The sequence below is a fragment of the Homo sapiens genome, chromosome 21 (genome assembly GCF_000001405.40).
Source record: "Homo sapiens chromosome 21, GRCh38.p14 Primary Assembly".
In the NCBI taxonomy this organism is placed as follows: domain Eukaryota; kingdom Metazoa; phylum Chordata; class Mammalia; order Primates; family Hominidae; genus Homo; species Homo sapiens.
In genome coordinates this window covers 21,363,806-21,387,231 of record NC_000021.9, presented here as the reverse complement: position 1 = coordinate 21,387,231, position 23,426 = coordinate 21,363,806, and the positions used below count along the sequence as shown (strand labels likewise).

Genomic DNA, 23,426 nt, shown 5'->3' with positions numbered 1-23,426 from the left:
CCAGATTTGTGTGTGTGTGTGTGTGTGTGTGTGTGTGTGTGTGTATGTGTGTGTGCGCACCAAGTAAAGGCCATGCCAGTACATAACCAAAAAGAGGGCCCTTACCAGTCACCCAACCGTGCTAGCATCCTAATCTCCAACTTATAGCCCCTAGATTTAGAGAAATAAATGTTTGTTGTTTAACCCACCCTATCTGTGCTATTTTAGTACAGCAGCTTGAACTAAGATATTCATTGTCCCAGTGAGAACTGGGATTCCCAGGGCAAGGTCTTCATTCCAGAGAAAGGACAGAAAGCAAGGGTAAGATTCAAGTAGACTTTAGTATTTCTGACTGTTAAACAGACGCCAACAGGCAGTGATAAATCCAGTTACAAAATATGTTTTTATTTATTTGTTTGCTGTTTGTTCACTTCTAAGGCTTATCATCTCAAGGATTGAATATTTCCTAAAGTTCCTTAAAAATTTTCTTACCATTATCTCTGAAATACATTTTAACAAGATCTGATCTGAATCAAATAACACCTGTCAGAGAGACAATAATGTTATAAAACGAGGACAATCGACAGTATCTATACACATGAAGAATGTGGTATTTCACATTTTCCCAGGGGGCTCACATAAAGTTTGGGTTAAAAATCTACAGCTTAACAATAAAAGACTCTTCACCTTTCTTTTTTAATGGTCTGTTCTTTTTATCTTCTGGATGAAGAGATATGCTTTCCATTTTTCTCAGTTGCTGTCCTTGAAATTACCATACTGGACATAAAACCTAAATAGTTGCAGGCAGTAGAACCAATTTATGTCTGCAAATGAGCCATCTTCTTTAAAGTTTCATTGGCTTAAATGTACTATGGTGAGTGTAAAAGTCAGGGTCATAAGACAAGATTTTAATCACAGATATAAAATGTGTGTCTGCTATGACCAAGGAATTTTTCTAATTTCTAAGTGTTTACTGAAATAAGCTTCTTTATATGTTTAAATTATGTTCACATCTTATTTACCTCATCCTATACATCTAACCAATCATGCTAGTAAAATCACTTTATATATAGAGAATGTACATCCACTGTTATATTCAGAGAATTTGAGATAAGAATTACTCAATAAAGCACACATCTATTAATTATATGGACAGCATGTAAATAAGTAACATGATTCTGTGTTATGGGATTATTTAATGTAACCATAACCTTAGAATGTATCTGATACTGCTAACTCTCTCTTTTATACTACAGGAGAAAATGCATTTACAAATCACCATTATGTCTAAGGAGAATTAAAGGCAGGTGCAGCAAGCTCAAATAGAAAAAAAAAGTAAATGAAAATTTCTAATATTTCTTAGCATGCATTGTTAGTATGTAACTGTTAAATTAAATTTATACATAAAATAATTAAGTCTAATTAATAGTTACTATGTAATGATTACCTAGTCACAAAACTTAATGATATTCTAATTGTAATCAAACATACTATGTAACCAGTGCTTACTGCATTAAACTGTATATCACATGCCTGTTTTCTCCTTTGTTTTAGAAATTGGAAGTTTAGTTCAATTCCTGCTTCTTAGTAAAGTAACGCCTCGGAAATGTTGAAAATGAACTGGAAGAATGCCAAGAAATCTGTTTAAGCTGAAACACAAAAGAGGTTTTGAGCAAAAAAAGGCTTAATTTTCTAACACCTTAAGTTTAGTGCTATTACAGTAAATGCGGCTTCTATCAAATTATAAATGGTTTGACTCTTTTCTACTCACTCTTAGCAGTATTACCCTGTAGGTGCTTGGTTCAGGTGGTATAAGACTGTTCTGGTAATTGTGTGTGTGTATGTGTGTGTGCGTGTGTGTGTGTGTGTGTGTGTGTGTGTTTAACATTGTGTAATGTCTTTGTAATTTTTTGTCTCCATACAACTTTGATGGCCATGATGCATAACAAAAGTATTCTGAGCTTTATTAATAGGTAAATATTTAATTACGACAATAGCTTTTTGTGGCCTTTCACATAAGGTACTAAGAGTTTTATTACTATTATGAATTTGTTGCGAAATAAAATATCTAATAACAAACCAGGCTTCAACTGCCAAAAAATATACTTATTAGACAACTTCCACATATATCATGGGCATTTGATTGCAATATACAACTAAAAATGTGTCATAATCTTCACATAAAGGGAATTAAGATTTAATAAATAGTGGTGGCATAAACGTAAAAAAAAACAAGTTTCAACTTTCATAATACAATCATACAGGCTTAAAAGGAGTGTAACTAAAAGAGAGGACAGGCTAAATTTTAAATTACAATCATGGTTACATATTCCAAATGGTTATCTAACCCAATACCCCACTAAATGTAGACATATATCTCGTGATATTTTTTCTATTTCTATTACAAAAAATAAAACCTGAACTGTAGCAACTAATGAAATTAATATTAAGAATTATATTACTTTCTACTTAAGTATTCATCAATCTTTCACTAGCATATTTATATAATTTACCATAAGTGAATTTTCTATCATCGTGTTCATCTACTTTAAACATTATTTACATGATTTGGTCTTTCAATTAATTATAGGTCACTTAGAAGGTAATAATCTTGTATCTACAATAGTGAAGAGGTTAGGCAAATATATGAGCAAGTCAGTATCATGCTAAAGTTAAAAATTTATTCTTATATGTAGCAAAAGTTTGGAAACGTGAGGTAGATTTCCAATATATTTGGTATTTTCCTGGAATTCATGAGTAACTTTAATTGTGAAAAATAATAAATTTTCAGGAATGTATGTAAAGAAATACTATAAGAATCTAGATTAATCAAAAAGGAAACTAGACTGCTAGAGACTCACAAGTAATTTATAACAAACATGTAAGACATTAATAACCAGTCTAAAAATGGCATTCATCAAGCATAGGTTAGATCCATAAGAAAAAAAACTTTCAATAGAAATAAAAAATAAAATAAAATATGTAAATATAATCCATGACAAAATTTGAGAATTTGTTTAGTGATCTTAAAGATTTTCTTTTGCTTTATGTGAAATTCATTCTATATGAGTAGAAATAACGTTTTATAGTTAAAGGATACTATTTAAGACTTTAAACATATAACTCTAAATTCAGCTAAAGTTATAATATCTTTCAAATTAAAATTTAAAATACTTATATATCTACCAGTAAACTTATTACAGTTTTCATGAAGATAGTTTTTGTCTCTATGTAAACATGTCAACAAACACCAGGCTAATGAAGAAAATATTAAACAAAATTGACTGTCCAAAGGACTGATACACTGACAGAAAGAAAAGATACTTAAACACTTTTTTAAATTTTGTAGTTTAAACAATCTTACATTACAAAAATAATGTTTTTGAGAATATATGATGTAAAATACTCTAAACAATGTGAAAAATAAATTTTAAAAAAGAAAAATAATAAAAATACTGCTGAAAACTGAAACTAAAACACGTAGGTTATTGGTTCCAGACACTAGACATACCAAATATATTAATGCTTTAAAGTTGTACTAGAAGTAGAATATATAAAGATTTTTCATTATATAATGGCAGCTGAAACCCAAGATAGTACATCTTCACTACTAATAAGAATTTAGAACTCTGAAAATAATATGAAATAAATTTCAAAAACAACTATCCAAGGGTTCTCAAGAGGAAAAAAATCAGGAAGATTGTGATGGGAAATGAAAACTAGCTTCCATTTTTTTTCTTTGTTTTTCTCTCAAGGCTTTTCCCAGGGGACGGGCCCTAGTTGAAGAGGTTCAAAGTGATCGTGGTAACTAAAACTTGTCCAGAAGGACAGAGGTATCTTGGAAAAAAGCATACATAATGTTGGAGAGTGTGAGGGTAATCTCAGCTAGGAGTCAGAGAAGGGTATGTCAAAATTCTGTGTAAAAACCCACAGAAATTTTAGCCTATGCCCTAGCTCTGCACGCACAAACCAGCACAGCAAAAGCTTTGAGAAATCACTTGAGGTTTGAGTCACTGCTGACAGGATGGAACACAAAACTTAGAGGTGATTAACTCCTTGAAAAATAAAATCCCCACATATTTATCTAAAGATACAGAGAATGCACAACATAATATTTACAATATCCAGGACACAATTCAGTATTTTTTGACAACCAGTACAGTGAGGTGAATTGTAAAGGAACAATACAACAAACACATGCAAATACTAAAATGACCTAGATGTTAAATTTATCAGATAGTAGATTTTAGAGCAACTATTTTAGAGCAGCTTTGCTTATCATTTATGAGGTGAAGAAAATGTATATATTCTAAAATAGATAAAATGAAATGGATGAAACTATAGGACTTCTCAGTAAAAAGACAGAAAGAATAAAATGGAGCAAATTGAAATTTTAGAACTTAAAAAAAAAAAATACTATTTGGGCCAGTCGCAGTGGCTCCCGCCTGTAATCCTAGCTCTTTGGGAGGCCGAGACAGACAGATCACGAGGTCAGGAGTCTGAGACCAGCTTGGCCAACATGGCGAAACCCCGTCTCTACTAAAAATACAAAAAACAAAACAAAACAAAATTAGCCTCGCATGGTGGCACGCACCTGTAATCCCAGCTACTCAGAAGGTTGGGGCAGGAGAATCGCTTGAACCCAGGAGGTGAAGGTTGCGGTGAGCGGAGATCACACCATTGCACTCCAGCCTGGGCGACAAAGCAAGACTCCATCTCAAAAAAAAAAAAAAAATCCCTGAAATAAAACAAAAACTTTCACTATTGGCTCACCAGCAGAAACGAGATGATGGGGTAAAGAGTCAGTTGACTTGAAGAGGAAACAAGAGAACATTACCTAATTGGAAGGGCAGTGAGAAATGAGATAGATAAAACTGAAAAGTATATCATGAGCCTGTGAAACAATTTCAAAGGGTATAACATATGTGTAAGTAAAGTTCCAGAGATTAGTAAGAGATTACACACACAAAAAAATTGCAGAAATAGTGGCCAGAAAGAAATAGTGGCTCAAGCATATTGACAAATATAAATCCCCACATTCCAGAAGCTCAGTACACTCCAAATAAGAAAATTCAAAGAAAACAATACTTAGACTTATCCTAATCAAATTGATAAATAACAAAGGTAAAGAAAATAGCTTTAAAGCAGTTAGATAAAATGATATATGGCATATGAGGGAACAATGGGTCAATTTATATGGCTTTCTCTTTGAAAACAGAGGAGACTAGAAGATAGTGAAACCCCATGCTTAAAGAAATGTCAATGTAGAATTCTCAAGAGCAAAGAAAAACAATCCTTCAGAAATAGGAAGGAAGAGGTGTAGTGGACATTTGATGAAAGATAAATTAATGGAATTTATCTCTGGAAAATCTGCTCTACAAGAAATGGAGAAGAAACTTCTTCAGATGAAAAAAAATTGGGATCTTCAAAAATGAAGGAAGAATAAAGAAACCACATATAGATGAATACATATAAAATATTTTTTTAGTTCTTTAAAATATGCGTAACTACTTAAAAGAAAAAATATCTTAATTCCTGATGGGATTTTTAATGATTTGAGATGTAATGCATGATGTCAAAAAGATAATTAGATAAGGTGTGTGTAAGGAATCCAAATGGTTGCAATGTTTCACATTTTATGTAAAGTGTCAAAATATGAACTCAAGTCTATTTCAAGGAAACTTTGAAAATGTAGGTTTGTATTTTAAAATTCCTATAGAATCGCTTAAAACAAAACAAAATGAAACAAAACAAAAACCAAAAATATTGCCAATATATAAATTAAAATCAAATACTAAAACTTCGAATAACTCAATAGAAGGCAGAAAAATGGGCATAGAATGTGAAAAAAACATAGGAAAAAAAACAGAATATAAATAAAAATTGTAGGCCTAATTGAAATAGTAACAACAATGGCATTAAACTTAATAGCCTAAACCAGTGGATGGCAAATTATAGCCCATGGGCAAAGTCTTGCCCAAGGGCTTCTTTTATATGTGACTCAGAGATGAGGATGGTCTTTACATTTTTCATGGTTTACAAGAGAAAAAAAAATATGGCAGAGACTGTATGTAGCCCAGAAAAAGTAAAATATTTATTCCCTGACCCTGTTAATTACTGACTGCTTGTTAAACACTCCAATTATAAGGAGATTTACAGTCAATGAGAAAGCAATATTCTATCATATGCTGCCTAAAAAGACACATTTTAATTTCACATAAAAATGCAGACAGGTTAAAAGTAAATGAATGGAAAGTGTTATACAAACAAAAAGCATAAGAGGGCTAGCGTAGATATTTGATTATTAGCTAAGATATGTCAAGTGAGAGATCAGCAGAGAAAAAGAGAGGTATTTAATTCTGATGAAAGGGGATATTCATAAAGACACAAACGGGAGGGAGAATAACGACCTCCCAAAGATACTGACACCTTTACCTTCGGAAACTGCAAACACATTACCAGCTGCGACCAAGGTAAAGATGTTGACATGAGAAAGTTATCTTGAATTATCCAAGTGGATGCAATTAATTGCAAGGAAAGTTTGAGACAGAGATGGACTTGTGAAGAAGAAAAAAGAGTCAGAGTGATATGATGTGAGAAAGACTAGATCTGCCATTGCAGGCTCTGAGAAAGGAAGGAATCCATGAGGCAAGGAATGTGGGCAGCCTCAGAGAAGCTGAAAAAAAAAACAAGAAAACAGAATCCTTCTGGAGCTTCCACAAGGGAACACAGCCCGACCCACACATGATTTTAGCCCAGTGAGAATCATTTCAGACCTCTGACTTCCAAAATGGTTAAGACAATAAATTTGTTTTATTATACAACTAAGTCTTTTGTAATTGATTACAGCAGCAACAGGAAAGTAACACAACACACAAAGTATAAATGTTTATGTGTCTCATTGTAAGCCTCAAAATACATAATGCAAAGAAAAGAGAGAAAAAATAGTTCACAGTCATGGTAGAAGATTTTAATACCTCTTAATGTGATCAAACAGCTATAATAAAAATTCAGTAAGGATAGAAGTTTTAAACAATACTGTGATGGTTAATACTGAAGGTCAACTTGACTGGATTGAAGGATGCAAAGTATTGCTCTTGGGTGTATCTGCCAGGGTGTTGCCAAAGGAGATTAACATTTGAGTCAGTGGACTGGAAAAGGCAGACCCACCCTTAATCTGGGTGGGCACCATCTAATCAGCTGCCAACATGGCCAGAATATAAAGCAGGCAGAAAAACGTGAAAAGACTAGACTGGCCTAGCCGCCCAGCCTACATCTTTCTTCCATGCTGGATGCCTCCTGTCCTCGAACATTGGACAAGTTCTTCAGCTATGGGACTCGGACTGGGTTTCTTGGTCCTCAGGCTGCAGATGGCTTATTGTGGCACCTTGTGATGGAGTGAGTTAATACTCTTTAATAAACTCATATATATATATACATATATATCTTATTCTGTCCCTCTAAGGAATCCTGATGAGTGCAAATACCATAATTTACCTTGATCTAACTGACATTAAAACACAATAACAACTACAGAATATATGTGCTTTTCAAGTAAAATCGTCTATTCACCAAAATAGTTAATATGGTGGGATATAAATAAAATCTTTATACATATAAAAATAAAAAATACAGGGTTTTCTGAGCACAACTGAACTAAATTAGAAATCAATAACAGCAAAATATCAAGGAAAAATCCAAATATCTGAAAGTTAAACAGATTCTTGTACATAACTATGAGCCAAAGTTGAAATCAAATGGAAAATTATATTTTTAGCTGAATCACAACAAAAATGCAACATACTACAATATTGGGGGGTTCCGTTAAAGCACTGCTTAGTGAAAATCTGGAGTTATGTGATTCTATTAGAAAATAAGAATTATCTAAAATACATATACTAAGATTCCACCTAAAAAATCTACAACTAAGTGCATGGTGAATTCAAAATACATAGAAGAAAGGAAATAATGAAGATAAAGCCAGAATCATCAAACTGGAAAACAGACATATTATAGAAAATATGAATTAACAAAATGGAAAGCTAACACTCTGAAAAGATCAACAACTTTGTCAAACTCTTAGCTAGAAAAAGAAAAGTCCTTTCTATTAACTAGTGCTTGATCAACTAGAAATAAACATGGAAAAATAATGAACACCTACTCCACAAAAATGAACTCAAAATTAATAACAGCCCTAAGGTAAAACCAAAATCTACAAAACTTTAAAAAGAAAGCTTAGACATAAATTGTCATGGCCTTAAATTAGGTAATATTTTTTCAGAAAAAACACGAACCGTATAACATGTAAAAGTCCAGTTTGATAAATTTAATAAACTAGACGACAGCAAAATTATAATTCTTTGCTTTTGAAAAATTTACCTGAAGAAATCAAACAAAAATGTTTATTCCAGAGAATAGTATTTATATATCCACACAATCTGCAAAAATCTTTGCAGAAGTTTTTTGTCATAGTAGTCAATAACTAAAAACACGTAAAATGTCCATCAATAGGTACTAGATAAACAAACTCTGTTATATCTGTAGGATGTAATAACAGGAACAAGTAGTATAAATTATTGATGCACACATATACATGCGAATGTATGCCAGCTGTGAAAGCTCAGCAGAGACAATTCAAATAATGTGAGAAAATATTTGCAAACCACACATCTGATAGAGGGTTAATATTCAAAATATACAAATAACTCAAGCAAATCAATATCAAGAAAACAACCTGATTTTAAAATGGGCAAATTATCTTTAATTGATATTTCTCAAAAGAAGACATACAAATGGCCAACAAGTACCTAAAAAAGTGCTCAGCATCACTAATCATTAGGGGAATGCAAATTAAAACCAGAGTGAAAAATCACTTCATTAGAATGGCTTTATTCAAAGAGATGAACAATAACAAGTACTGAAGAGGAAGTAGATAAAAAGGAACACTTGTTGGGAATGTAAATTGGCATGGCCATCATAGAAAGTGGTATAAAAGTTCCTCCCAAAAAGAAAATGAGAGCCACCTTATAATTCAGGAATCCTTTGTCTGGGTTTATACCCAAAGGAAAAAAAAAAAAGTCTGTACCTGGTAGAGGTATCTGCAGTCCCATGTTCATGACAGTATTATTCACAACAGCCTAGATATGGAATCAACCTAAATGTCCACCAATGAATGAAAGGATAAAGGAAATGTGGTATAGATACACAGTGGAATACTATTGAGCATTTAAAAAATGATAAATCTTGTCATTTGCACAACATGGATGAATCTAGAGGACACTGGTGTTCAGTTAAATAAGCCAAACACAAAAAGACAACTACCTCATAATCTTCCTTAACTGTGGAAGCTTATAAAGTTTAACTCACAGAAACAGAGTAAAATGATGTCAGCAGAGGCTGGGGTGGGTGCATGGGAAGGAAGGAAATGGGGAGTTATTGATCAAAGGGTAGACAGGCAGATAGACAGGAGAAATAGGTTTTGAGAGTTATTGCATAGCTGGATCACTACAGTCAATAATGTGCTTTTCAAAGTAACTAAGAGTAAATTTTAAATGTCTCACCATAAAAAAGGTAGGTGAGGTAATGGACATGTTAATGAGCTTAACTGAATCATTTAACACTATATACATATAACAAAAATTACATTGTACCCCATAAATGGATACAATTATTGTTGGCCAATCAAAAATAATACTAATGATAAATTTTTAAAAGCATCACATTTGTACACCTTAAATATATACAATTTTTATTTGTCAACTATAACTAAATAAAAGTAAATAAGTACATTTCAAAGATAATAAAGTAAATTAAAAATAATACTGCATGACTCTATGTATATACATTCTTACATGTAAATGTAAACTAAATTGTAGTGATCAAAAGTAGATAAATGGATGCCTAGGGATAGTTGTAAAAAGGAGGGATAGATTTTAAAGTGACTTGAGAAAATTCTTGAGGGTGATGTAAATGTTTATCTTGATGATTATTATAGATTTAGTGGTGTATACATAGGTCAAAACTCATATTTTACATTATATATGGGCTTTTATTGTACTTAAATATATTTGAATAATGTCTTAACAAGAGATGATATTTATTTTTCTAATTATCCCCACTCAAGTAGAATAAATTTGAATGTTTCATTTTGGAAAAAAAGGAAAAATGATCAAGTGTTATAAGAGCCATTCAACTCATTTTCAACAATATTTGCAGAAAAATAATCAATGCTTAGGGAAAACAAAAAGTAGTTATATTTACATGAAAGTTTAATAGTAAGAAAATTTTTTTCAATGTATATTAATCTAGCTACCCTCTAATCAAGATGGCGGCAATAATAATCTCAGGGGATACTCAAATAATTCTCAAAACATCCTTTTAGAAAACAAGACCTTTCATCCCTGTTTAAATAAGATAAACTAAACTACATAATTTTCTGGTGAGCTTAAGTCTGCACATTTACCTTGGAATAATTAAGCAGAAACATAAACCAATATTTAAACTTATAAAGAAGGAATGCAATGTGATCAAAAGCAACTTGTACTTTGTTAGAAATCAGTCCTTGAAAAATAAAGTACCCAATGTACTTTTTTCGTATTAAAGTTATTAATTCATGGTATTAATAGATTACAAGAGCAAATAATTCAAATTGCAATATACAGTTGTTTGTTTATCCCATTATTTTCTACCCAGCTAAAACCAATAACTAAAAATCTCATGTAATTATGTATTAGCATTTTACATTAATTTGATATTTTATTCATTCTCACTTTGAAATCTGAATACATGCTGCGGTTTAATTTAAACTCCTGTTGATGGTAGACTTCTAATAAAGGAGGAGCTATGTTTTATTCATCTTTGTGTCCATTATCACTCAGCACAAAACCTGAAGCTTAAGGTGGACCTAGTATGGTTTTTAAAACTATTTTCAGTGAGGTTTTACAACATAAACATATATGAATTATAATCTTAATTTCGGTTTTCATTTGTTTCACACAAATACCTATGCTGTCATGCATGGACAATAATTCAGAAATCCCAGGGCATCTCTGGAGAATGTGGATACGCTTGAATAAAAGTATCTTTAAATGCTTGAGTATAAATAGGTCCCAACAGTCTCTTCTTTAAACCCTCTTATCTTATAACTAAGGAAATTGAGGACTCAGGGACACATAACACACTATTAATTAACATATTAGCTAGTCCTATTATTCTAATACTAGCATATCTTGTACGAGCCACTCTGCCTTACTGTGCTTTGGAAATATCCATAGTGTTCATTTCTCATAAACTCCACTTTTCTGAGGACCTGCAACAGACATTTAGTACTAATCCTATGATACAGCAAATGTTTTAAAATATTAATGAAATGCAAAGAATAAAAGTCCTAAATATAGTTTCATTAAGATAATATGTTGCCTAGCAGCCTAGCACTTTTGTAGGACAGTGGAAGAGGCCAGGAGGTCTCATATAAATCATATCTTGGCATGCTTAAGTTTTTTTTTTCTTCATTTAGATTCACATTTAGAAAAATTAAAAAAAATCATAAAGTAAATTTTGGTTTAAATAAACAAATTTTAATTAAAAATATAACAAATGTACTGTAAAAGTGTAAAGTATTTATAATTTGCTAATGATGTTGTTGGTCTGAAAAAGAAATATACTGTAATAATGGAAAAAAGTAGAAAAAATTATTAAGGGAAAAAGGTTAAGTAAGTTATTGGCATCACTTCCTCCTTTGTGTGTTCTCAATATTATCAATGCTTTCCATTTTTATTTTTTTAGAAAGTGTGATGGAAATAAAGTGGCTTTCTTAGAAGCTGCCTAATATCAGCAAATGAAGTCAGTAATTTGTGTCAGAATCAAGTTGCCTTTTATTGTTGACTGCCTTTCATAATCCTTTTTTCTTTTTTTTTCTTTTAGTTACGAAGTTTAGTAAATTCCAACAACTGTATGAATAGTTTTAAAAAGGTTGTTACAGATCCAGGAATTGTATAGTTTAACAAATATATCAGTGGGTGTTTTTTTTTTTGTTTTTGTTTTTGTTTTCTTTTTATCCTATTATGGGAATTTCTTTCCTTTTTATTATTATTATACTTTAAGTTTTAGGGTACATGTGCACAATGTGCAGGTTAGTTACATATGTATACATGTGCCATGCTGGTGTGCTGCACCCAGTAACTCCTCATTTAGCATTAGGTATATCTCCTAATGCTATCCCTCCCCTCTCCCCCAACCCCACAACAGTCCTTTTTTCTTTTAGAAGTTTCTGATTGGTCTTTCCATGAATTTCTTGACAAGCACAGTCTATAAAATGTAAAATAATATGGATAACTTATGTCTATTCTTGAGAAAATATTTTCTTTTTGAAGGCATTCTCGATAAGAGAATGCATCTTGTTTCACAGTTACCATTGCATTCTATCAATATTAATGTACTAGACATGCTCCAATAGAAATATTTTGTCAATAAGAATATCTCATACATTCCACTAAGAACAGCTATGTCCTTTCAAGCATCAGAGACTCTCCAATATTGATGCTTCATAAATATTTATTGAGAATGATGTTAAGTTTCTTCCTTTTTAAATAGCATGTATACCAAATTATTTTTAAATTCCATGCAGTGACCAGAGGGGTTTTGTGAAAGCTTGACTTACATTAGCCCTCCCATTTCCCAAAACTCACGTGGTTATGTACATTTTTAAATTTATTTTAAAAACTATCCTTGTCATGCTCCTTTCTTCCAGACAGAAAATAAACACTATTTTGATAAGACAGCATATTAGTACATTTCACTGCATTTAAAATACTCTTTATAGTTTATGAAAATGTAAAATAGCCTAACAAAACAATTTGAATAAGAAATGTAAACACTACATATTTGAGACATAATCATAAATATTATAAAGAAATAAAAAATCTAAAGTGATATCGACCAATTACTGATAATTAATATTTTTCAGTTGATACTGTGTTTTGAGTTCAATGTTGCAAAAAAAGAAAGACCATTTTCAGGAAAAGCAATATCAAAATGATGAAATATACAGCACTGTGAAATATCCTGTAATTTCCACTAGATGTCTCCAATAACTGACTGAATGATTCCTATATTTCCTCTAAAGCTATGCATTAAGTACTGAAATGTGAACTACATATATATTTTGGTCTTTATTGAAAAATCATATGTTTCAAAGCATGCAAAGTTATTTTAATGAAAATACAAAGGAAAGTAACTTACATTCAATATCAAGGTACATGCTCTTTTGATGCCCTCCAATTCTGCTTGCAGCTTCACAGTCATATCTCCCTGAATCTGACAACTTCACATCTTTAATATGCAGTGATGAGCTTCCATGCTGCCCTTTGACTTCGATACGGCCGTCCAGGCTCTGTTTACATCGATTCAGGAAAAAGAAAGATTTTATGCTTGTGTGTGCAAAATGGTGACCAAACATATAACATTATGTTACTTCCCATGTTTCTCTGGCAAAAAGAAAAAAGAAACTGTTCCTGATGTAGAAAGTATTTCTTGTATAGCTAAGAATAAGTTTTTTTTAAAAAGCACACTTTTTACATTCTCATAGCTTCATGAAGGTTTCCTGTACCCTGGCTGTATAATGATAAAAAGCATTTCAATGACTCCAAACAAAACCCAATCACTCAGCCTGATGTTTAAAGATCTCTCATGTGGTATCACCTTTCTGTCCAAGCACACTTTACAATTTGGATACCGTCAATTCCAATTATTTTGAATTACTTGTACTCTCCACAATATCCTGTGCTTTGAATAAACACTCTTCACAGACGTGTTTTACACTTTTCCCCTTTTTTTCTCTCTATATTTACATGGCAACATCCTACTTTCTATCCTTTAAGTTACTGGCAAAATTTCATATTGTATTAAAAATAGTTCCTGATTGCCTAAATAATTATGACTTATTTGAACTACATAATTTTCTTGGAATAAGTTGCTTTTACTAAAGTCTTGCTGGAACTTCAGATTTCATCCCATAGTGTGATAGTATAGTTGAACAAATGTAAGAAAATATTTATGGTACTTCACGTAAAAGTCACTTAAATTTCTAGGACAGAAACAGTATATTCTAATATTTTTAGAAAGCAAATTATGTTATAGTGAAATTTACATGCAGTTGAGTAAAGAAAATGTACTCCTTCAGCTATTATTTACTATGAGTTAAGCACTTGTACTTAATTAACTTTATTGGAATATAACAACAAAATACATTATTAATAATGCAAAGCAAATTATTCATTTTTATAAAGGAAACGTAATTATTTCACAGTATTGAAAAGTAAATTTTAAAGTTACATGATCTTCGCTTGAAAATAAACATGTTCTCTTGTAATTACCTGTTATACATGACATGGCTTTGACTTGTGAAAAACTATTGGTGTATATAGATGTTATTAGTAAAAATGTTTGCATTTAAAAGTTATTATCAATATACCTGAAATTATTAACATAAATTCTGGAAAAACAGACACTGTGCCCAAGTGTGTGATTCCTAGGAAAGTTAGAAGCCATTCTCAGGTTCATCACTGGCTCTGTAATGATGCACAATATGCATTTGAGTCAAATACTTGCACTAAAAGTCCAAGGTCATTTTCTATTTTCGTTTCTGACATTCTAAAGGACATGTCTCTTTGTGCTACAGAAACGCATTACAAATATCTGAAAGAAAATTCATTTATATCTTGGCTCTGATTCAACACCTACTAAAGATTCATTTAAGACATCTGATATTTGATTGAGACAGGTTAATGAGCATTTTTGCTGTCTATCTAGTATTTCCAGGTTCTATCACTGAATTAAGTAAGATGATTAGAAAACAAAGTGTCTGACTGTACATTATTATTCCATCCTTTACAAAAACGCACTCTCTGAAATTTGATTTGATGTTATGTTCTTTGCCCTTCTAGAAGGTCAGTTTAAGAATTGCTTATTTAAATGGTATTTCAATATTTTTATAATATGGTTATTTTTAGAGTTTATTGTCCTTTCAAAAATCCCTTAATCAAATATCCATGTGATAACCACTTCTTGAGTTTATTTGCAACTAAAAGTTTTTGTTGACAATTTTAATTGTCAAACAATTGAAATTATATAATGTGTCATTATTTATAGGTTATTTTTTGTGGCCTCACCTGACTAGACGTTTATTGTCAAATTTAGAATCCAATTAGAGTTCACAGCACATTTGAGGTGGCCAGTATTCCAAAACTTTCTATTCTTTCTACTGTGTCATGGAACACTTTTAGAGTCATTAAATCCTTTGGCCTTTTGGGAGATTGATGGATCATCTCACTTAACCATTCAACAATTATTTTGTGTCAGAGCGTGTGTGTGTGTGTGTGTGTGTGTGTGCACGCGCATTTATTTTACAATAAGCAACCAGGCACTGCGATGCAGTGCTGAGCAAACTGTAATAGTTTCTACCCTTGGTGGCATTAAAGTTAAACAAACAAGATAGATACTAATTTTACAGTACAATTCAAATAAATGTGAAAAGCACCAGGTAGGCAAACTATATCTTTCTAGGAGTAAGTGGAGGAATGGGGTAGGTATGTTTCCTGACAAACCAAAGTGTGGATTGTGATCTGTAAATAGTGAAAGAAGGGTGGTGTTGAGGGAAGAATTCCAGGCAGATGCCCTAAGAGGACATAAGAAAGATATGAGAGAAGCAAGAATACGCACAGAAGACAGTGGGGTCATGTGGTTCTCCTGATGATGGACAGGTAAATAGGGACCATAGGCAGAATGCAAGATCAATGCAGATACACAAAAGAATATGCACCCCATTGTGGATGCCTTCTATAGGTATTCTGTTTGCCTCATTCCTAATGGCATTATTTCTCTATCGAGTAAGTAAACTCAACTTCAAATACTCTGAGGTAAAGACAATGCATAACTGCTAAATATGTAGACAGAAAAACCAACACTCTCCAAAGGTTATTAGAATTAATTTATCCAAACTACCTTCTCAAAACTGTTTTAATGTATCAAATCCACCAGTTTCTACAGTCATACTAAGAATTTTAAACAGAAATACTGTTTTCCCTCCCTGTAAGTTTCTTCTCTTTACTATTAGCAATAATGTTCTTTCCTCTGGATTTGCTCCTAGCTTTCTAATCTTCCTCTTATTTCAATTTCATGAGCTGACCTCTTGTATAATTACCATTTCACCCAGCAGTGTAAATGATGTCAGAAAGATAAATACATGCAATCAAAGTTCTTCACTTAGGTAGTTTTCTTATTAGGTCCTCCTGTCTTTCTCTTTTCTTTGATAATAAAATAAAAAATTTATTCAACAAATAGGAATTGAATGTAATAATTATAAAAGGCAATACATACATATGATAAATTATACTTGTTAGACAACATCCAAAAAGCTTTACATTTACTAGTGTATTTAATCTCCATGACATCACTATGAGGCTGAGGCTAGTATTTCCATTTTAAGATGAGGAAATTGAAAAATATTCAATAACTAGCCCACATCCCACAGCTTATAAGCTTTAGCAGCTGAATGACCAGGTTGTCTAGCCCTGGAGTTCATGTTTGATTATTTTTGATATATGATTTACCACCTGAGTAGCAACTATGAGTTTGAACTATGTATGTACCGCAGCTATGTAATAGACACTTTGCTGGGTTCTGGGGCTAGAAAAATGCATTCACTCAAATTGAAAAGTGGGCATTTTTACCTACTAAATGTGTTTATTTCATTAGTGATTTTTCTAATTTTTGTTTTTAAAATATGTTATTCAATTTTAAATGAGGATTTCAAACACCAAAACATGCCAATAAGATGTTTGAAACATTTGATGGCATGTACAATATTTGGTTTCAAAAATTAGACACAAAACATTTATTTTTGATGCTTTAATGGGAATAAATTAGCACGTTTACTTTTACATATAAAAAAAGAAAAATGGGTAAGAAAGCAAAGCCCTTGGTCTCTCAGGTCATAAGGATCAGAGGAAAAAATGACAAATTATAATGCATGCTGATATAGATGACATTCAGAAAGGAAACCTAATTTGGTAGACAAAGGTGAGGAAGAGTTTCTCGTAGGTATTTATGCCAAAACGGAAGGACAAGTCAAAATGATAAGTCAGGAACTGTACTGGCTATGTAATTTTAGGGGGCAATTGCAAAATTTAATGTGGGAGTTTCTATTTAAAAACTATTAAAATGCCAAGATGACGATGACTGCAGCATATTAGCTCAAACTTGGGGTCGTTAAAGAGTGCAGAATCTGTGCAGTTGCATGAGTTGTACCCCTACAAAGTCAGCCCTCACCAATAAAAAAGTAAGAAAAGTAGGAAAAAAATGGTAACTGTGTGGGCTTGAACTTGAGGAAAAAAAAAGCTGTGTTGAAAGAGTTTAAAGGGGCTCACTGGAACTATCAAATTAAATATGAGGTTGAAGGGGTAAGATATGAAAGAGTTAGAGAAATAAACAAGACTACAATAAGAAGTACCCAAGCAAAAGAAAGACCAATAAGATCATGAGAAGATGCTGAAACTCACTAGCCATCAAGGACATTTAAATCAAAATCATGATACCACTTAGCATTCATTGGAGTGGCTACCATGAAAAAGTCAGATAGTAACACATGTTGGCCAGGATGTGAAGAAATTGGCACCCTCATGCCCTGTGAGTGGGAATGTAAAATGGTGCAGATGTTTTGTATAAAATGTTTGACAGTTCCTCCAAATGTTAAACAGAGAATTGTAATTACATTCCAAAGAGAAATGAAGATATATGTCCACACAAAAACTTGTACATAAATGCTAATGACAGCATTATTAATAATGTCAAAAAGTGAAAACAACTGAAATGCCTATTTACTGGTGCATGGATTGAAAAAAACAAGTGGTATAAACATACAAAGGAATATTATTTGGCCAAAGAAAAACCAAAATGAAGTACTCACACATGCTTCAACATGGATGAATCATGAAAATGTTACAGTAAGAGGAAAAAGCTGATAACAAAGGACTAGTATTGAATAATTCAATTTCTTTGAAATTTCCAGAATAGGCAAATCTATAGATACAAAAAAGTAGAATAATGTTTGCTTAGGGCAGGCAAGGGGAATGGGAGGTGGTGGTGAGGAGATTGGGGGGTGATGACCAAAAGAAGTGATCAAATGATCCAAAATTGATTGTGTTTATGATTGCACAACTCTAGGAAAAAAGGCTTTTAATTGCACAGTTTAATGGGTGAATTGTTTGCTATGTGACTTATACATAAATAACACTGTGAAAAGGTAAATATCAGTTGAAGGTTATTGGGTGTTTTACGAACAATTGGAAATGGACAGGATAGGTTTTAGGCAGAGGAATAAAGTAGATGCACTTGTGATTTAAAAAGATCACTCACACTGCAGGAAAAAAAGTAAATTAGAGAGGGTGCTATGGTCTGAATGTTTGGGTCCCCTCAAAGTTCATATGTTGAAATCCTAAGCCCCACTGTGCTGGTATTTTTGGAGGTTGGGCCTTTGGGAGTTGATTAGATCATGATGGTAAAGCCCTTGTTATTAGAATTAGTGCCCAATAAAAGAGCCCACAGAAAGCTAGCTAGTCCCATGCACCATATAAGAACACAAGAAGAAAACAGCATCTTTGACAAAGTGAGCCCTCAGCACACCTCAAATCCATCCTGCTAGCACCTTGATTTTGGACTTCCCAGTCTCTAGAACTGTGAGAAATAAATTTCTGTTGTTTATAAGCCACTTTACAGTATTTTGTTATAGCAGCGTGAACAGACTAAGATGGTGGGGGAGGGAGAACAACTGGAAATACATTATTACACTGATGACATGCTGGGAAAGGTAATGGTAGTGAAAATGGAAAAGAGTGAGTGGATTCCAGAAATATATTAAGGTGGAAGTGAAAGTGTTTTTAGTAAATGACCAAATGAGAAAGTGTTGATGAAAGAAAAGAGAAAAGAAATATTTCTTGCATTCTGTCACAGACCCTTTAGGTATAAAATGTTATCTACATTAGTAGATTGTTACCTCTACATAAAATTATACTATGGCTGTATACATTTATATTTTAAAATAAGTACCCATATTTTAATACATGTATAAAGTCTATTCCGTATTTCATATTCAATACTTTAAAAATAATATTTAAAATTAAAATATTATGATAATAAAGCTTTAAGTAGAATAAACCTTTTAGAGATTATTATTTTTAAATTTAAAACATGAGACTAGAGACTAGGTGGGTTCCAACAGACAGTTGTCAAAATGCTGGTTTTCAAAACATGACCTGAGTATTTATATTATTGCACAGGCATCCTACCTACTTTAATGTAATATAATAGTTAGGACCATAAATTGCAGAACCAGAATGGATAGGCTTATATCCTGGCTGTGGCACCTATAATCTCTAAAGCCTGAGATTAACTACTTTACTTAGTGGTACCTCAGTTTGCTTTTCTGTATAATGGGTATGATAAGAATACAGATTTCAAAGGATACCTATGCAGATTAAATGAGTGAATATTTGGAGTTTAGCATCTGTAAAGTACATAATAAATTGGCTAAAGCTACTGATATGCAGATCTAAGCAATAAATATGAGTTTCATACACCCATCTATTTCATTGTGATTTCCAAAAGCATTCTACATATATTCCATCTCAAAGTAAAATAATAACTTTCCCATACTCTATTTAATTGACAGTTTATTTTGCTGCTAGACTTTTCTCTTGATCCCATGAACCACGTGCAAATAATTTATAGTATTTTTCCATGGCCAATACATAATATATTTAGTAAAAGACAAAATACAATTAGGACAAATAACTACTATAGGAGGAGACAACTGCTATAATAAATAATAAAACATTTCACATAACTCCTTGTCAAGGTACATTATCAGGATGATGGTGAATATAAAAGCCCAGATTTCACCAGCATGTAATATATCGATGTAACAAAACTTTAGTTGTACCCCCTAAATCTATAAAAAAAATCACCAATAGATAAAGAAGCCAAGAAGATAGTCAGATCTAAAATGTACATCTTGTAAAATTTACTTTCATGTCACAAAACTATGAAAACCGCAAAGAGAAATCTGAAAGAATGAGCCAAATTATATTATGAAGCTCTTCCTTTTAAAAATGCGTTATAATATGGTCAGAGATATGGTGATAATGTATGCCACATAATTGAATTCACCCTGTGAACAGCGATACCATGTTATTAAACCACACTGCTCTCAAGTCATACAACTAGTCATTAGTAAGTATTGACTGCATTGTTTCAAGGTTTTGAGGGAGTCATACATCATATGGATCAACTATTTTAAAATCGAAAATTTAAAATGTTTTGGTATCTAATACAAAGTCAAAATTCCCTACTGGAAAACAGATAAAGTGTGATACTTAAAACGTGTGAATTGGAAGGGAAAAGTATTGATAACTATTGAAGCTGGGTGACATATACATGGGATTTGATGACACTATTCTCTAGTACTTGTCTTCTTGTAAAATTACATTTTGTATTTTATCATGGAAATTTTCAAACATCACACCCCAGATGGGATTTTCCCTGCAGGCTGTTTCCTGAATTAAGAGAATATGTGGAGCAGATCAGAAACCAGACTCAGGTCTAGAGCATGCTGCTATAGCATACTTAAAAGAGACCTACAGACTTTTGTATTGAAAGCTACTGAGATTTTGATGACATTTTACTGAAGAATTATGACAGCACAAGTGGACTAATGCACTCATTTAGTGCTGGTTGCTTTAATCCACATCTGGTGAGAATTAAATAAGATTAGGCAGGCTCCATGCTAGGTACATGATAAATATTGTTAAAATCAGTGATATAATTAGTACCCAGTGCCTAAGCAGTATAGTTAATCTAGTTCAAATTACAGACAAATGAGAGGTTGTTTTTTTAAGCAAGAAGCACAATATCCTACAGGAGATGCTACAATATCATATGATATGCTTGTAACAATATGTGACGTATAATAACTATTAAACAAATGTTAACTATAGTCATTGCGCTTGTCCTTTAGTATGTTTTTACGTAAATCTCCCAAAGTGGAAAAATACAGTAAATACACTATGAAGAAACTCAGAATATTTTGGGAACATTCTTCTCTATGCTTCTTGCTCTATCTACCAGAACAAATAAAAGTCCCATTCTGAGCCTTTGTCCACCCCATACTCACAGCATGGAAAAGACACAGTTCAGGTCAAAGGATATATTCACCTTTTTTCCTGCCTAAAACGGGAAACAGTACAAAGCTTTTTCAAAGAACTAAATATATCAATCGAGACAGCAATCCCACTACTGGGTACCTACTCCCCCAAAAGGAAATCATAGCACTTAACCTTTGGATAGATTATGGTGCTATGTCTTGATTTTGCTAGTCATTTTCTGCAGTATCCACTATGCTACTAATCCCGTCCAAGGTCATTTTCAGTATTGAAAATGTTGTTTTTTCAATATATACAATTTTTATTTGAGCTGTTTTATATCATCGGCATCTCTCCTTGTTGTGCTTGTGCTTTTCTGTATCTTCTAAATACATATGCAGGGCCCATTAAAACAATTGATCGGGTAGTGTTCTCGCCTACTACCATCATGTATGTCATCGATGGTATGTTTCTATTGATACTGTTTCTGTTTTTTCTTATTATGGGTTATTTTTTTCACCTTGCATATGCCACGATTTTTTTAATTTTATGCCAGACATTGTAACTGATATATTTTGAGTGCTATATGTTTTGTATTCCTTTATGTATGTCCAGTCTCTCTTCTGAGACATTAAGTTACTTGAAAACAATTTTATTCCTTTGAGGTTTGCTTTGAAGCTTTGTTAGGTGAGTTGGGAACAACTTTTAGTTTAGGGCTATTTTGGCCACACAACCAAAGCAACAGTTCTAGCATTCCAATGATTCTTTCCAAGGCCTTGCATTGTTTTTACACACACACACACACACACACACACACACACACGCACTAAGCAATAATTAGCTCAAATCTCCAACGGAAAGCACTGAAGATCTCCGGAGGTATTTCTCTGTGTGTGTGTGAAATTCTGTCATCTCCACAGGGCTCTGCCCTTTCAGCTACCCCACTGTGCGAATTCCAGCACACGTTGTCACCCAAACTCAGAACACTGTCTCCTAACAGGGAAAACAATTGAAGCATTCATCCCTGTGCTCCCGCCTGAAATCTCTCTCCAGGCAGTAGGCTTGAGCAATAATGGAGCTTACATCACATGCTTCTCTTCTCTTGGGGATCAATGTGCTGCCCATCACATTGTACATTTTGTTTTGTTGTTGCTGAGGATTTTTAAGTTCATTGTGCAAATCAGGCCCCACTTCATCCATTATGGAAGTTCTAAAAAGTATTTTAAATTGTCACTAGTTCCATAGTTAATGTCAGTGACATCTAGTGACCACATTTTGTCACCAATATGAGATTTCTTATGTTATAGAACACATCCTTATTCAAAGTATTAATTTTATTGGACTGATACCATAAAATTAAAAGTATCTGGCAATATATACATATATAGATGTATGTGTATATGTATATGTACATATTTATGTATACGTATACATATACATGTATATACATGTGTATATATGTATATATACAGGCTACACATACATTTTCTTTTTAAACAATCACATTATGCTAAATACATGTTAACATACCTATGTCATTAGATGTATAAGAAATCTTATATAGTCTATATGTATAATTACTGTTGTATGTGCTGATATTATTATAGCAAATATATGTTTTATTTTGAATATGGAGACATGCTGAATGATTCATATGCATTATTTGTCATGATGCCTTATAACTACACATTGGGTGAGAAGTTCAAGAAGGGTAAAATATATCTATATTGTGAGCTTTGAATGATCCTCAGGCTGTCTTGTTAACTCATGTATAATTGATAACAGATTTATATTTAAATAAATATGCCTATATTTATTGGAAATATTTTATACAGAACATGAAAGAAACATCAAAATACTAAAAAAATTAAAATCTGAAAACCGCAATTTCATCAAATTATTTTTGTTATAGAGACATAGAAACAACCTATCTCTAAGAGATGAGTGGCTAAAAACTAAAAGTGTGGAAAACAAATAGATGAACTCCACTGAGTTGCTTTTCAGTTTTGATTTTGCTTTTTGTTGTCTTAGTGTAAAGCAACCCTCCATGAAGAACAGGTAATTTATACAAACACTCTATATACAAATCAAGCTTTTTGTGATTGTTAGAAGCCTTCAATTAAAAGAGAAGAAACTCTTCAGAGAGGATCTAACAGAAGTTATTAAGATAAAATAATGTATAGGAGAAACAGAGTTGGAAATGTTGATAAAATGTTACGCTTTTTAAGCAAAATCAGGAGTCTTATCAAAACACCT

General features: G+C 32.4%; 1 protein-coding gene across 17 annotated transcripts in view, besides 1 other annotated feature; it reads right to left on the bottom strand.

Moving 5' to 3' along the window:
- NCAM2 (neural cell adhesion molecule 2) overlaps positions 1-23,426 on the bottom strand; it is a 544,921-nt gene that overhangs the window by 156,098 nt on the left and 365,397 nt on the right. For 16 of the 17 annotated variants that reach the window (NM_001352592.2, NM_001352591.2, NM_004540.5 and 13 more), the window contains one exon: positions 13,219-13,369. In NM_001352592.2, the coding sequence (NP_001339521.1) occupies positions 13,219-13,369 (151 nt within the window). Of the gene's footprint in view, positions 1-1,557; positions 1,629-13,218; positions 13,370-23,426 lie in introns of those variants that run through there. The other variant, NM_001352597.2, reaches the window with a different exon arrangement.
- Positions 21,846-22,418: an enhancer, noted in NCBI's record as "OCT4-NANOG hESC enhancer chr21:22737134-22737706 (GRCh37/hg19 assembly coordinates)". NCBI's record gives its function as "activates a minimal SCP1, AML or CMV promoter by ChIP-STARR-seq in naive H9 embryonic stem cells {active_cell/tissue: H9 hESC(naive)}" and the evidence as "EXISTENCE:reporter gene assay evidence [ECO:0000049][PMID:30033119]".